At 40.0% G+C, this 17,382-nt stretch overlaps 1 protein-coding gene across 5 annotated transcripts in view; it reads left to right on the top strand.

The window, feature by feature from the left end:
* Positions 1–17,382, top strand: part of MEGF10 (multiple EGF like domains 10) — a 231,923-nt gene that overhangs the window by 201,119 nt on the left and 13,422 nt on the right. For all 5 annotated transcript variants that reach the window (XM_017009987.2, XM_011543694.1, NM_032446.3 and 2 more), the window contains 8 exons: positions 2,945–3,091; positions 4,269–4,403; positions 4,943–5,071; positions 8,021–8,149; positions 10,321–10,449; positions 12,580–12,708; positions 15,039–15,275; positions 17,139–17,266. In XM_017009987.2, the coding sequence (XP_016865476.1) occupies positions 2,945–3,091; positions 4,269–4,403; positions 4,943–5,071; positions 8,021–8,149; positions 10,321–10,449; positions 12,580–12,708; positions 15,039–15,275; positions 17,139–17,266 (1,163 nt within the window). The remainder of the gene's footprint in view (positions 1–2,944; positions 3,092–4,268; positions 4,404–4,942; positions 5,072–8,020; positions 8,150–10,320; positions 10,450–12,579; positions 12,709–15,038; positions 15,276–17,138; positions 17,267–17,382) is intronic.

Consider the following 17,382-nt stretch of genomic DNA (forward strand, 5'->3'; position numbering starts at 1 on the left):
ATTTCATTGCAGGGTTATCCTTACATGGAAGTCACATCAGCAGTCATATACCTGGTGCGACTTAGAGAAACACTTACCCAACACTCTCTTAGTGATACTTACTGCCTGAAATTCCACAATTAGATATTTATTTCTTAGGCTCTTAGAATGCATGCTCTCTTAGAATATCAATATTCTCCAGAGAAGGTACTACTCAGCAATAATAAATGTATCTTGTCCTTTTCTGACTGTAAGATGAAGGGAAAAATAACTAGGAGGGCACAGAGGGCCAGAAGGGGAGAAGCAGCAATAGGAGAAGAGGGTACAGCAAGAGGAGGAAAGACAACTCCACACCTTTCCCTGGAATTGCCCCCTAACTGAGACATACTTGATATTTATCTTCACATAGATTAGGCATTAGTATCTGCAAAATGCTGACTCATTTTTTACTGATGACAGAGTAAATAAAAGGGCTTGAATTTTTAAGAGGGTGTTGGTAATAGAATTTTTATAATTTATATTCAAAGGAAACATTTCTTTGCAATTCTAAACTAAAAGTTATTTTCAAGTAAGCTTGGGTCTGTTGAAAGATGCTTATATGATTGGACACAGAAGGTTTGATCAATGATCTATAGAATTTGCTATGATTCTCTGGAAATGAAATGATGGGTAAACCATATGAAACAAGCTTATCTCTGCAGTGGATCTTCTTGCTATAGGGTGGGCCTTGTTACTTATACAAACATTACCAGGATATAGTTGATTATGACTGATGGCTAGGCTAATCAGCTGAACAAACCTCTTAAGGGAAGAAGAATAAGTTATGAAAGAGAGGATCTCTTTATTCAGATTTGCCTATCTGGCCTGTAGTCATTTTTCTTACCATGCTCTGATTGAGAATAGGCTAAGCTATACATAAATCATGATAACCTATGATATAAAAAAGCAGCAAATACTTTTGACCTAAAGTGTACTCCATTCCATCTTAACTGAATTTATTAAGTGCAATTTGAAGTAGTGATTTGGCAAGTAGTTGATAAACTAAGTCATCATAAATGGCTAAATCTTACCTGTCCCCCAAGTCCCCACCCTAACAAAAAAGCATAAAAAATCGGGACTGCTTTTTCAGGATGATGATCAGTCAGATTAACAGGATAATTACTCAGTTTCCACTTCTTCAAAATCTTCGTTGGGATTTGTCTTGATGGCATCAGACCAAAATGCCCTGGGTTGATTGTCTAAGTCTCTGTGATAAGCAGGTGTCCCCATCTTAGCTGTTGTTAAGCAGGAGTCTTGGCTCACGGTCAGAGTCTAGGACCTGAATTTGAACTGAGAGCGAAGTGTTTAGCAGGTTACCCTTGTTGGTACTTTCTTTAAATTCTCAAAACAAAGTTTAGGTTTGCAGCCTCATTTTGAAGTGGTTTACTGCTTAATATGTTTGATGCTTCTGCCCAGTATAGGTGTGGATATAAATTCCAGGTAAGATTCTGTGGCTGATGTATCACATCTGGTGAGGGTAGAGTTTGCAATTTCATCTCAGATTTTCAAAAGAGATTTGAAAAAAAAATAATATATTTATGATTGCAAGAAAAAAATCAACATAGTAGGCCCAGATTTCATACTTTATTCTATGGGAAACATTTAAACCCCAATTGGTTTATGAACAGACCTGGTCTCCTTTCTTCAGCCCATGGTCCGAATGAAATAAAAGTCTATTGTTGGGTCAAGCTAGACACAATGAGGTCTGCATGCTTTCTTGCCTATTTAATGGCCTTTACCACGTGGGAGACTTTCAGAAGGAAAAAAACAGGAACAGTAAAAAGTGGATCTTCTTGCTATTCCAGTGTTCACCGGAAATGGTGTACCAATTAACAACATTCACATTATAGTTTGGGACTGCTTCCATGTTAAGGTTCAGACTGTGGTGACTTTTTGCCTGATTACTTTAGAAGCCAAAACTGTAACACAAGACATGACCGTCTCAGCATCGTGGTACTGGGTGGTTGTTAGTATTCTGGAATCCTGGAGGGTCTGCGTGCTTGCTCTTAATGTGTTTTCATTTGGTCTGAGGCCAGCAACTGCCAGTTCACTACTAATTATAACTTATTGCCTTTCAATGTGAAGAACATTTCTTTGAGTTGTGAGGAATTCTGGCAAGAAAGAGGCCCCTGTTGTATTTCCAATACGAATGTACAGAAGAGACTTTTATTTATCTCAAATAAAACCTGGTTTTAGTTTTATTTTTGCAAACTTAGCTTTCCTTTCTGTTTCCTTTTGTCATTTTTTTTAATTCTAAAGTTTCTCAGTATTTAAAATTAGAGTTAAACAACTGCATACAGTTTCATAATAATCGATAGCATAGACAACAGCTACAAATAATGTCAGTTGTGATATTCTGCCAATATCTCTCCAATGTCAGGTAAGATTTTTAAGGAGGAATTTGGTGGCACGTGTCAGTGCATCTTTCTGTTCTGCACAATGCACCATCAAGTTATTTTAAGATTATGTTTATTTGTTTCATCCAGGGGAGGGTTTTCTTTATGTAAAACATTTTATGGAACTGTTCATTGCCTTATCCTTTTACACTTTATTTCTCTGTGAAAACAAAGAATGGGAGGAGGAGGAGGAAGTCACCAAGGGCTAAAAGATATCGTATTGTTGATAAATTTTACTTGCAATAGACAGAGCCCTTGGGCTTCCACTTTATTGCCTCCTCCTGAAGAAGAAAAATCAATATAACAAAAGTTTGTTATTCGTTCTTCATGACTCCATAGAAAATCGGTCTGGGTATTATTTTAATGTTATGATACTGTGTATTGATGTTTATAAGATGGTAACTCTCCATTCATTGCTGCTGGTGATCCTCAGGTTTAACACTGTGAGCTTAGTCCTCATCTATGAATTAGCATCTGCGGAAACTCCGCACTGCCTCTCACTCAGCCTTGCCCCATGTGCATTATTTCAGGTGTCCACTGTGACAGCGTGTGTGCTGAGGGACGCTGGGGCCCCAACTGCTCCCTGCCCTGCTACTGTAAAAATGGGGCTTCATGCTCCCCTGATGATGGCATCTGCGAGTGTGCACCAGGCTTCCGAGGCACCACTTGTCAGAGGAGTAAGTGTCTCATTAGGCAGTAATTTCCACCTTCCCTTCCCTGGGCACCATGTATCGAATAATGATCTCTGTCCCACCTCTCAGTTTATAGTGATGTCCTGTTGCAGTTGAAGGCAAAAGAGAGTGTAATGGTTCACTTGTCCTTTGCAGAACTGTGTTCCCTAAGAGCTTCATTCTTTCCAGCCTTCAGAACTAACCTAACAGATGGGGATTTAACCATTTCTTCTCAATAATTACTTCATTGCCTCATTGGCACAACCATCAGGATATATTTCTTCACCCTTCCTGAAAGCTTTGGAATGGTGTTCTAGAAATTCACTGACCTGTAAATATGTTATTCAGCAGTTTGGCATTGGCCTTACCTCAATTACCAGACGTCAACATCAGCCAAACCTTGAGGCAAATCATTCATCCTGCTAGTAGTCTTAAAATCAGTGCTATGGGGAAAATGGAATTGCAAAGTTGAAAAAGGAGACTGTTGACATTGGTCCTTAAGACTTCTGAGTTAGAAGATTAAGTAATCTTTTAGTAAATGCAATCAAAAAAGAATATGTAACTAATTATAAGTTATACTATTCTAATTTTTTAAATTGCCTTTCCCCCCATAAGAATTCTATGCAGTTATCATATATTTAAATCTGAATAGTATCTTGGCAAGAACTTAAGTATATAGCATTTTGGTTAATCACTTTTCGATTACAGTCATTAACCTGGACCATTTTGAGGAGGAAAAATCTTCAAATTTTGACTGTTGATCGATTTTTATTGCCAGAAACGACTCTTAAAGAATAAAGAATCAACAAATGGTTTGAGAGTACTTATTTGAGACTTATTAGTATTTCAATTTTTTTATCTCTTTATTTATTCAATGAAAATTCCTGGAGCCCTGCTTTATGCCAAGACTTGAGCTAACTGGGGCCTTAAATGGGAAAATAAAGAAGACTAAGACATTTGCTTGCTCTCAAGAAACTCAGAGTTTAGTGGCTTCTTTTCCTCATTAAAGGGTTCCTTTGTTCCTTTGTTGTTCTTGTTTTCTACTTGGAAAATTCTCCGTATCTTTTTTACTTTTTTTTAAGGTTTTGCTTTTTAACCTCTAAAACTTTAACTAGATCCCGATCTGGAATGCGAGACAAACGCATCTCAGAAGGATAACTGCTGATTTCCCTTCTGTTTTCAGTCTGCTCCCCTGGTTTTTATGGGCATCGCTGCAGCCAGACATGCCCACAGTGCGTTCACAGCAGCGGGCCCTGCCACCACATCACCGGCCTGTGTGACTGCTTGCCTGGCTTCACAGGCGCCCTCTGCAATGAAGGTAAGGCACGAAGCATCCCGGACAGCTGGGTGGTGATGAGCACGCCCCGGAGAGTCTGTCCTCAGGCCTCCCCTTGGCCTTCCTGAAGGCCATGTTTTCAGCTGTCTGCTGGGAATGTCTTCTGCTGTGCTGTGTCTGCAGCTTCTCAGATAGGACTTTGAGCTTTGGAAAAGCTGGCTTGCCACTCCAGCAAAACCTTTTTATTTCCTGAGATGTGCTACTCTTCAGTTTTAGCTGGACATGTCCTCCCATAAAAAATCAATATGCGGAAGAATTTTAGACTCCCAGAGCAAGAAGTCGTGAAGTCATATTTCTAGAAGTGCAATGATGTCCCCTGGTTTGTGATGCCTTAATGCAAATCTTTGGCTTCATGGATTTGTAAAAATGAGCCCATTCAAGATGAAGGATGCTGTTGAGCAGAGATAGCTACCAATGAGCAGCTGGGCCTGTGACCTTTAAAGTTATTTCCTGTGCTAAGATTCTAGGGTTCTGCGAGAGGGGTTTTGATTGTGAGTTACTGACCTATAGCTTATTCACAGTGTGTCCCAGTGGCAGATTTGGGAAAAACTGTGCAGGAATTTGTACCTGCACCAACAACGGAACCTGTAACCCCATTGACAGATCTTGTCAGTGTTACCCCGGTTGGATTGGCAGTGACTGCTCTCAACGTAAGTCTTGTTTGAGAACAATTAATAAACTGTTCTTATTTGTTTGTTTTCAGATTCTTTAGGATTGAAGTATGAGTGTTTTTATATAATCAAGAAAGAATATATGACTAATTAAAAGACACATTCTACTTTAAATTCTTTTTTTAAAATTCTTTTTTTTTTTCCCATTACGACCTCTATGCAATGGTCCTATGTTTAAATCCAAATAATGTCTTGGAAAGAACCTAAATATGTAACATTTTCCTTATCCCCTTTTCAGTGATTCATCGTCCATTGAAATAAAGCAAAAACAGCTGTATTGAGAAATCTATCTCTTCATTTTGTGTTTATCTGGAGAGTTAATTACAGAGAAAGAAAAAATGGAATTAAATGATGTGAGCCTTAGAAACCTATTGGGAACCTGAGCGAACTGCCCACCTAATATGCTTAGCTTCACCTTGGCATCACCCAAGTGCCTTCCACACCACTGGATTTCAGACAGGAATTGTGTGACCCTATAAGGGACTATATAGATGACTCTTAGAGCACCCATGTCATGAAAAAAATGACATCGACTATAAGTCATTCATGAATGTTTTGAAAGGGTCAGTGCAATGTCTAAAAGTATTCAACTTTTGACCAAAAAATAGCATATGTATGGAGTAATCTGGTTTCATTCATTTTAAATTTTATGAAACACTCTCAGTTTATATTGAATTCCCCCATCATGCACATAAGAGAAATCAAAGAATGACTGTGTGCAGTCATTTTACATGGTGCTTTATTGATAATTTAATTCAAACTTCACAGTTACAAGCAACCTGCAAATACTAATTGATGAGCAATATATTTTTTGCTGGAAGATTTTTTTCTGAATGTTAATTTTTTCCATAAGTAGTCCAGGCTGTACCCCATTTTTTAGGAATAAGGGAAGAGAGCTAATAAATCTCAGAAGTGTAGCTCTTTGGTGAAAGAAGTGTTATGCGATATGATTTCACTCCATTCTGGGGGCATCACTTCAGAAGAAATCAGTCTGTTTAAATCTACATGTGTTGCAAGGGCTCTGACTGATGGTTGGGCGTATGGGTTTGGGAAGAGTAAAAGGTCCAATATCATTGTCACAAAATGATTGATTTATATTGCTCCTTTAAAAAGTAGTCTTTATTTTGGAAATTTGTCCCTTCCTCATTTGGAGGAGGAATGTGCTGAAAGGAATAAAAATAGAAACACAACTATGAATGGAGACTATAGTGTTGCCTGTCCCAATAATCACTCCACAGGAAGCTGACTTATTTGGCAAAAGCCTTTGCTTCTCCTGGGGATCATTGATTTCATTGATTCCCTTATGGACTCTGTGGAACCATCTTCATATTTCTTCTTAGCTGATTGTGAGCCTGTCTAAAGAGAGCAAAGTCCTTCACAGTGAAAACACAGACTTTGAAAACTTAAAGGGGTACATTTAAAGGGGCAGGTGTCCTTGGGAAAATGATTTTTTAAAGCACTATCTCTACGTTTACCTTTTGGGAATATAAAGTTGAGTGATGCTTATTCCCATTCTCTGATCATAACAAATATAGGGAGAAAAACCTAATGGCAGTGGGTTACCTCAGAAAAATATATTGTGAACATAAATGGGTTTACAGAAGCTGGTTAAATATCATCTAAGGAATAGGTTGTTTTAGGTAAAGAGTGCTTCACTGAGCATCAAATGGGCTAGACGCTTCAACAGTTTTCACTGAGTCTCACTGTGGCTTTGGGAAAGCTGTATTTGTCTAACAAATAACAAATATTATTATTAATCTATGTGACCTTGTACGAGTCACTATTAACCTTTTGTGTGCTCAGTTTCTTCATCTGTAAAATTAAGGTGTTGTATTTAGAAAATTTGTTCCAATGCTCACTCGAGACCTCAAGTGTCAGCTAGTATTTTCCCCTTGCTCTTGGACATGGTGCACACAATTATGGAAGAATTTTTTTCATTTAAAAAGTTACTTCATATGTATTATTGATTGTCTTTATAGGTCCACATTCCCTATGGGGTAGCCGTATAGAAATTACAGGTGGTCCTCCTTTTATGCAATTATGTTCCTAAAGTATTAATATGAATAAAAAGTATTTTTTGTCAATGAAATTATTTTACCCCCTGATCTTATGCTATTATTTCACAGATACTTTATCTGACTTTCTGATGTCTCTTCAATCGGCAGTGACCCCTAATGATTTAATTGTATTATTTTCTGGATCTTCCAGTTAAGAGTTTTTACAAGGAAACCAATTTTTACATACCGCTGGGAACCTCAATATTTAAAAGGAGCCTGAAGTGGCAACTCTAGAGTAGACTGAAGGGTACAGGATTTAGAAATTGTGAACATGAGCTACATGGCCTTGGGTCCTTTAACCTCTCTTGAGTCAAGTCATTTTCCACACCTTATCTCTGCTCAAATGTCCTCTCCTCACAGAGGCCTTCCTCAGAGGAGTAGCTCCCAAAATTATTGTCTTCCTTATCCTCCTTATGTTTTTTCATAATACCTACCACCATTGATTTTTCATTTTGTTGGTTGGTTGGTTGGTTTGCCTGCCTCCCCTACCAAAATAGAAGCTTCCAGAGGATGGTTTGGACTTTGTCTTATACTCTGCTATCTCCCTTGGGCCTGGAACAGTGTTGGGTACATAATAGGTGTTGAATATGTGTTTGTTTAATAACTGAATCTGTAAACTTGAGGTGATTTTTGCCCCAGCCACCTCACTCTGCAGTTGTAAATGAATACATATGTCAATAATGACAGTCGTTGTTGAAGTTGCCATGGCCATCTGGGATTTAGTGCAGAATTCAGAGCAGTGTGCTTTCTTAGTCCTGATGTACACTGCTAACCTCTCACATGCAGGGAGATGTGTAGAGGTGGATGGAATTCTCCCTACTTAGTATTGGCCTCAGAACTCTGATGGACTTCTCCATACCTGTAATTTCAGCATGTCCACCTGCCCACTGGGGCCCAAACTGCATCCACACGTGCAACTGCCATAATGGAGCTTTCTGCAGCGCCTACGATGGGGAATGTAAATGCACTCCTGGCTGGACAGGGCTCTACTGCACTCAGAGTAAGTGACAAGCCTTCTGAGGCTCACCAAGGGGAGCCTTGTCCAAGGAGGAAACAGCCTTACCCTCCGCATGCGTGACTGGAGCTCAACAAAGGTCCCTGAGGTTGGAGTACTTCCCTCTCCTAATGACCTGTAGACATATAAATTTCTCTAAGTGATTAAGAGCTACTTCATTCCAAGTATTCTGTCTCTAGGTTCTATCTCCACTGAGGTAGAGCAATGCTGTGTGATGGTATGCAGTTTATTTCTCTTCTCTCCTTTAACCAAATCATATTTATATGGATCAAATTCTCAATCCTTTAACAGCACAAAAGTTAGGATAAGTATAGAGATTAGAAAGGTAGAGAAGACAACAAGCCTCACTGCCTGATTTAATGTGCGCTCTTGGAAAAGGTGGAGTTCCGTGTTTTTCGAATGGTAGCAAGCTTCAGAATCACCTGGAGGACACAACAAACACAGAAGCTAGTTCCATCCCCAGAAAGCCGGAAGCAGCGAGTCTGGGCTGGCACCTGAGAATTGCCATTTTTATCAACTGGTAGTAATGCCAGGCTGGGACCATGCTTTGAGAGCCACTGCCCTAGTTCTTTTCCCCATTTTGTAATTCATAGCATCCTAACCATTTTTTCTTCCATTAGGCTTTTAGCATGATAGGATATAGTGTGCAAAGTACTTACTCCAAAGCTGAGCATCATTGGGGAAGGAAGATCATTCTCTGACCTCTTACCTTCGGTTGAATAAAGGAGACAAGAAAGGAAGGCATGTGTTATGGTTAAGTACTAATAATAGCGTATATTTTAAAATAATAGCAAGAAGCTGAGGAGGACAGATGGGTCTGAAATTGAGCAATTCTTATTTAATACTAATTAGAGTACATAATTAAAGAATAGGCTGAAAAAGTCTTAGAAACTTTCTAGAAGATAATGTAGACCTTGAACCAAGAGTTGAAAAGGATAATTGGCAAGGAAGGTAGCTGGCCCAAGCATATTCTTCAGAGTTCGTATATCTATAAATATTGTTTAACTTCTTAGAGAAAGGTACTTGTAAGATATTATTTATAATTCTAAAATTAGAACGTGCTTCAAAGAGAGAACCCTTTTTCAAGTGCAAGTAACATGATATAGTGGGAACAACATGGGGTCCAGAGCCAGACCTCCCTGTGTTTGAATCATGGCCCTGCCGTCCTGCCAGTTGCCAGCTGTGTGACTTAGGGTACTTGGGGCTTAGTTCCTGTCTACAAGACGGGAATATCCATCCCTGCATTTCTGGCCTGCTGTAAAGATTAAACAAGAGAACGCATGAAAAGAATCTGGCACAGAGTAGGTGCTAAATAAATGCATGACAGCAGGGAGTCATCGGTGCATACTGGCATCTGGGCACTGCCTCTGCTTCTTGAAAGTTCCATAAGAAAATGAGAAAATGAAAAGCATATGTAATATTTGGAAACAATCATTGAATCAGCCTGCATTGAATCTTTCATCACGCCAGAGATCCCCAAGACACTCTTGCAGGGCAGCTGCCAGCCCATGTAAGCCAACAGAATTTGTGGGTGTCTTTAGCTCAAGAGACTCGCCGGTCTAAGCATTGAAAATCATGCAGCAGTGTGAAGGGTTATTGCTTTTTACAAAGCACCTGTGAAGTACAATTGTTTTTTAAGGTAAGCATTCTAGTACACCTCTTCAGGGAAGTTGATATTATCTAAGATAATAACAGATACAGTGGACAAGGCTAGTAGCAACAATAGAGATGTTCTGTACTACAAGTAAAAGCATACAGGTAATTTTAATATAAAGTACCCGTCTCAGTCCATTGGAATTTGAGTCCAGGATTCTAGTAGAAATGTGAAAGAATGAAAGGAAATGTCCTATTCTTCCAGGATTGAAGGGATATTTTGTTAGAAGGCACTAGTCTTGCCTCCAGGGGTACCAGTGATGGTTACACTGACAGGAATGGAACTCTTCTGCCTCCTGCTTATGAATTACAACCTCCTTGCAAGAGCCCTGTCTTGGGACTTCAAAGAAGCTCTTGTGGCAAGCTCAGATATGTACTATTCACTGTATTCTCTGATGGCTCAGTGTCATTCAAGTTTAAACACAAATATGTTGGAGGCACGAGCCTCCAAGTGTTTCTCTTCAGCAGCCTCTTGACTCCTACTGTCCTCCCTCCTCCCACAGGATGTCCTCTAGGGTTTTATGGAAAAGATTGTGCACTGATATGCCAATGTCAAAACGGAGCTGACTGCGACCACATTTCTGGGCAGTGTACTTGCCGCACTGGATTCATGGGACGGCACTGTGAGCAGAGTAAGTATGAGAGTGTGGCATCACTGGGTGGTATTTTTTTCCTCTAGAATCACATTTCCTAGATGCCAGGAAATATTAAGGCAGAATTCACCACTCCGAGGTTGTTTGAGCTGATGGCTGGTTACTTCTCAGCATGACTGACTTCCCCTCCCAGAGGTCAGGCCTCCCTGGGATCATCGCTGGTTACTCACTGCTCTGGGCGGAGGAGGTGTGACTACAAGAATGAAGACAGAATTCAAGTTTTCCATTCTGTTCTTTTGGGCTCTCCCTTCCTCTCCTTCTTATTTTTGGAATGTGGCTGCTCAGAGCCTTAAAAGATCCAGTCGAGCTTTCTTCATGGCAGAGGCAGAACCCGGGTCTCACATTGGAGGACAGTACATTCGGTGGGGAGGAGGGCTGGTGGCCCAGGGCCAATCCCTGTTGCTGGTGAGGGAACACATCCATGCAAACATTGCCACCCTTTCAACAACCTTCTCTAGATCGTACTTTTATACTGCTTCCATTAACAACTTCTCATCTTAGTCTTAACAACCTTCCAGACAACATACTGCCTTAAAATTTTGTTTAAGTCCCACTGGGGGAGAATATGCCGTTGGAATTACTCATCCTTATTTTTTTATTTCCACCCCACTAGCTATGCATCCCCTCACAGAGTTATAAAAACATTAGTCTTAATAAAATTGAATATTGCAAATTAGTTTATTATTCCTTTCCTCTATGACTTTCTTTCAGTATTCACGATAAATAAATAAGGGCTTAGGGCTGTATCAGACCCACTTTCTTATGATAAAACCTTTTGGGCGGGAAAAGGTGAAGAACAATTCCTGTTCACCAGAGGTTGTACTCTTGGGAAGGATCTGCCAAGATTATGGCCATAGGAGTGGTGTGGCCTGGAAAGATTGATCAGGATAGCAGGACTCTGACAATAAAGCACCCCTCCCCACCCCACTCCACTGGCACCTCACAGAGCCACTCTGAACCTGGTTGCCTCAATTTTATGTGCTAAACCCTAGGGTATTTTTGCATATCCTCTTTCTAGCAAATATAACAAAAGTGACGTCCAGGAATCAGCTCACAACAGAGACAGCCCAATTTTAGTTTTGCATCACTGTTTCATTGAGTCATGAAAACAGATCCTGACTGAGTGACACAGTTGCATACATAACTCTATTGTGCATATAAATATTGTGTGTTTGTGTATAAATGTCTAAATATGCATGGAAACCAGAATAGGCTCAAAATTTTACTTGAATGCCAGATGACTGGTTAAGGTCTTATTAAATAAGAAAACCTCTTAAGTGCTTCCATGATTACTCTCAACAGCAAATTAAAGTGTCCCTATTTTTGGAGACTTCTCCCAATGCTTATTTGTAAACAGAAACCCTGTGTTTGACAGAGAGTTCTAATAATAATAGCACATTGCCCCCTGCTGCTCACTTTATGAAAAATATCAATATTTTGTCACGAAGATTTTTAGATTTAACATGCTTACACTATCCTTTGAAATTCATGCCTAACTCTTATTAAGACCGCATAGTAAGAATCCTATTACTTTCGTCTTCAAGACTTCAACAAAATCCAGAGTTTGAATCACTCCATAGCAAATGAAGTTCTTACCTAGAAAATCAGCAAAACTTGTTGTTTGCATCTTCCCCTATTCCTGGCTAATTCAATTGAGAATGTGCGTTTATGAAGATCCCTGAGCCTACAGTAAAATATATATGTTCTCAAGAAAGCATCTTTAGTGCTCTTCAGTCTAGGCCCCTTCCAGCCTACAGTTTTGCCTGGTGGACTTGTATCAAATTGCCCTTAGTGATTATCTTCATCTGTTCCATGGGAATTCCACAGACTCTCCATATACACATCATAGAGGTAAGTATGTAGCAGCTGAAAGTGTCAGGAGCTCTAATGTTGAGCAGCCCTGTCTCTAGCCCTGTGCAGTCTGGACTGTGAGTGCCACCATGATTCCAGGAATGCTGTCCAGTTCTGGGACACTCTTGGGGGTACAAGTCAGCCTCAATAGGAATCCCCTGAAAGGACTCAGCTCTAGATGTGCAGGGCTTGCAGTCAGAGACAGCCTTGCTCCAAATTCCCAAGGTTGGAAAGCTACATTTGACTTTCCTTCTCTAGAGTGCCCTTCAGGAACATATGGCTATGGCTGTCGCCAGATATGTGATTGTCTGAACAACTCCACCTGCGACCACATCACTGGGACCTGTTACTGCAGCCCCGGATGGAAGGGAGCGAGATGTGATCAAGGTAAATATACTAGCTAATGTTTGTAGCACTGCAGTATTGTGTGAACACCATGTACCAGGCAATGTGAAGTATTTTCACTTATGTTATCCAGCAGAATCTTCACCACAACTCTAAATGGCATAATTGGTTACTTATTTAATTGCCAGATGAATGCCTTATTGTTGCTGTCCTGCAGATAAAGAAACAAAAGCTTAGAGAGGCTGAGTAATTTTCCCAAAGTCACATAGCTAATACTAGAATATGTCACAGCTTTTGTGCCAGATTTTTGTTATTCCAAAACTCATGAACTTTCTACTGGGTCTATGATTTTTTTTCAGCTTTATTGAGGTGTAATTGATACACAAAAAACACACCTATTTAATGTGTACAATTTAATAAAATCTCGACTATCTATATACCTATGAAACCATCACCATAATAAATGAAATATCCATCACCATGTGTTTCCTCATGCCCCTCCCTACTTCTACCACCCCTTAAGCCCCAGGTAATCACTCATCTCTTTTCTGTCAGTATAGATTAGTTTTCATTTTCTAGAATTTTATATAAATGAAATCATACTGTACTCTTTTGGGTCTGGCTTTGTTTACTCAGCATAATTATTTTGAAATGGAACCATGTTGTAGCACATATCAACAATTCAGTTCTTTTCATTGCTGAATACTATTCCATTGTATGGATATACTATAATTTGTTTACCTGTTCATGTGCTGATGGACAGGTGGATTGTTTCCAGTTTGGGGCTATTACAGATAAAGCTGCTATGAACAAGAGTGAATCCAGTTTTTGCATGGACATGTGCTTTCATTTCTCTTGGGTAAATACCTAGGAGTAGAATAATTGGGGTATATAGTAGACATATGTTTAACTTTTTGTAAAACTTGTGCCCCTGGTTTTCAATTGGGGTGTATGTCATAACGACCTGGGAATAGTTGTCAGGTACATGGTCCTATTTGGGAAATTCCGATTCCAGGGTTGGGGACTTTGAGAAAGTGCTTCTGATGGTTCTGAAGCATGCCCTCCAGAGAGCCACAGCTCTTACTGCATGTGGTACTCCCTGGTAGGCAATAAGCAGTTGGGCTATAAAAGGCTTTAGAAAATTGATACACTGTTGTAGATGGAGTAATCTTAAACTGCAGACCATGTAAATATTTACAACATTTAATTTCTTTGGTAAAATGACTTTTACATGCTTATGATTTACATTTGACTGTCATAACAATAGAATGTGATCTTTCATTATCACGTCATAATTACAAATACTCTGTAATCTCACTACATTATCCTTGGTGGTCTGTGTTTCAGGGCAGATTGTTTTGTAAAAAGGTCCTTCAGCATTTAGAATCATAAAATCATAGGAACATTTACTTGAGCTGGAAGCAGTGACATGGAGGCCTCTTTTCTCATTTATAGATGATAAAACTGCAGCCTGAAAGCTTAAGTGAAAGTTCAGAATATCTAGGTCAATTTTTTTAGATGCCAGATTTCTTGAATCTCAACCCATGCCTTTAGCGTTATCACTTGACGGACCATAAGGAAGAACTATGTAATGCCCAATTTTGAATTTAATGAGTAAGGTATTAGGGTAATGCTATCAGGTATTATCAGGACAAATCTTTCTGTCATGGAAAATAACTTTGCACAGAACAATATCTTCTGAGGTAAAAGACCCATTGAAATTAGCAAAAGGTAGATCCTGTTCTTAGACTAGATTTATAATGGTGTTATGCTTGCTTGGAAGGAAAATTACTCTTAGAAATGCTAAGGATAGACATAAAATTTGGTTAAGCAGTTGGGACATTTAGCATTTAACTCTGCATAAGCTCAGTATTGAATAATAAATAAAGCAAAATAAAAATTAGATAAATTGTTACCCCAAATTAATTGCCAGTCTAAGTATTTAATCGGAAATATATAAGAAGCTCTCAAATCCTACTGTTGAATCTCTTTGGGTTCAGAAAATCCTGTCTCTTTCTTTATATTTTTTTAGGGACAGGGTCTTGCTATGTTGGCCAGGCTGGTCTCTAACTGCTAGGCTAGATCAGTTCTCCCGCCTCAGTCTCCTGAGTAGCTGGAACTCCGGGCACGCATCACTGTGCCCAGCTTCTGTCTCTTTTTGAGGCTTACAGCAGCCTTTCTCTGGGCATGGATAGGCCGACAACATCTGACAATGAGGAATGTTTGCTTTTTCTTCCTGCTCTGTTTCCAAATTAATGTTTTATGAACTGAAAATATGCAGGCATTAGCACAGAAGGAGGTTTTTGTAAGTAGAGATCAAACGTTTATCCAGCACATTGTCATCCTTTCTCAAGTCTCTCTTCTTTTTCTAGCTGGTGTTATCATAGTTGGAAATCTGAACAGCTTAAGCCGAACCAGTACTGCTCTCCCTGCTGATTCCTACCAGATCGGGGCCATTGCAGGCATCATCATTCTTGTCCTAGTTGTTCTCTTCCTACTGGCATTGTTCATTATTTATAGACACAAGCAGAAGGGAAAGGAATCAAGCATGCCAGCAGTTACCTACACCCCTGCTATGAGGGTCGTCAATGCAGATTATACCATTTCAGGTAAGAGCAGAGGCAGGAGAGGCATTTTGCTTCTTGAAAAGTTAAATTTCATTCGGGTTCTTTAAAACTGGGTGTTTGGCTGTGCTGTCCATTGTTTCTGTCAATTCTCATTGAGAGAATTCTATGTTTGGAAAAGGTATACATTGCTAGAGATGAGTTTTTTATTTCAACAATAGTAAATTGTCATTCTGTGGTTTGCTATAAGGGTTTTAAAATTGAGCTCATTGTGTTTGTGGTTTAGATTTAGGGAATTTCAATCCATAAGGAGCTTTGTATCCAGCCTCAAGCTTTTGTCATATGTGAGGGGGGTGAGGAGGAAGAGAGGATGATAAGTTTACCAAGGTCATGGATCAGATTAGGGACCAGTTCTCCTGTCTCTGAATGAGGGTACTTTCTATGTGCTTCCCAGCCTCTCCCTAGGCCTACCCGAATCGTTAACTGAAGGGAACAAAGTTATATCAGAAACAGCTTTTTGGTATTAGCAAGAACCAAGGCAGCCCTTTAAGAAAACTCTTGATTTTTTCTGTTCTGTCACAATGCCTCATAAAAGGAAAAATAAAATTATAATCAATCATCAGTAGAAGCAACCATTTACATGGAGGAATTTAAAAGTTTAAAATCTTTATTACTTTTTGGGTGATTATTGAAGGCCTTCTGGTTGGTTACATGTTTAAAACTACAAAATTCCGTGGAAATATGAGAAGTAGCTGATTTACATAGTAGTGCATTTTCAGTGCAGAATTATTGTGTCAAGAACTCAAGTGTTTAAAAAAAGGAAAGTTGCAGAGTAGCTTCAAATGATACCTTCCCAGCTGTACCAGCCCCAAAGCAAAGAGCAGTTATCTGTGGATACTGTGAACAAAAGTTCTCTGAAAAGGAATTTGGGGGAAAGAGATTTTATTCCAGTGAACGGTTTGCAAACCCAGGAGTTGCAGCCAGTGTAAAATGAAAGTGCAGTTCAGAGAACAAAGGGAAGGCTTGGGTTTTATAGCAAAAGTCCCCACCCAGCTTCCAATCAGGCCCTTTTAGGAAAGTGAAGGATTGAAACTGGTTTAATTCTAATTGATCAGTGCAGCTGAGTTCTGGTTGGTTGACACAGCGGAACCCTGATCCTTTGATAAAGCTAAGCCCTGATTAGCTAAGGCAGGTAAGCTCTGATTGGTTGGTTCAGCTGAGCTCTGAAAGACCCAAAGATAAAAAGCTGGGTTTTCAGGGAACTCAGAGTACAGGTGTGATCCTTAGTCAGCAAAGGCCTGCTTGACTCGATTTTAAATTTAGGCCTAGGCAGCCACTCCTATGGATCTTAAATAATTGGTTCTTTCAGTTTCACATTTGTTCACAAGCTTTCATACTTTTCCAAGGAGGCAGTTAGGAAGGTAGAGGCCTGTTGCTTCTAGAAGCTTTGCTGAGTAGGCTGGGCAGGAGGAGATTCTGCCCAGCTTGTGATATGGAAGGAGTCCGGACATTTGTTCAGTTATTTATTTATTTGTTTTTTTATTTAGAGATGGAGTCTCGCTCTGTCACCAGACTGGAGTGCAGTGGTGCGATCTCGGCTCACTGTAACCTCTACCTCCGGGGTTCAAGCGATTCTTCTGCCTCAGCCTCCCGAGTAGCTGGGACTACAGGCGCATGCTACCGTGCCCGGCTAATTTTTTTTGTACTTTTAGTAGAGATGGGGTTTTACTGTGTTAGCCAGGATGGTCTCGATCTCCTGACCTCGTCATCTGCCCGCCTTGGCCTCCCAAAGTGCTGGGATTACAGGCGTGAGCCACCTCGCTGGGCCTGTTTTGTTATTTTGATTCCCTTTTTTCACACACATTTATGGGAGCCTGCTGCCTTAACCATTTCCTTCCCTTCTTGCAGGAACCCTTCCTCACAGCAATGGTGGAAACGCTAATAGCCACTACTTCACCAATCCCAGTTACCACACGCTCACCCAGTGTGCCACATCCCCTCACGTCAACAACAGGGACAGGATGACTGTCACGAAGGTGAGAGGAATTGGTTCAAGTCTTTGGAAGTGGGCTGGGGAGAGAGGAAGGGAACCAGCATTTATTGAGGGCCGCTGTTCACCAGAGGCTGTTCTAGGTACTTTACATATATTATC

Source organism: Homo sapiens, chromosome 5 (assembly GCF_000001405.40).
Source record: "Homo sapiens chromosome 5, GRCh38.p14 Primary Assembly".
Classification (NCBI taxonomy): domain Eukaryota; kingdom Metazoa; phylum Chordata; class Mammalia; order Primates; family Hominidae; genus Homo; species Homo sapiens.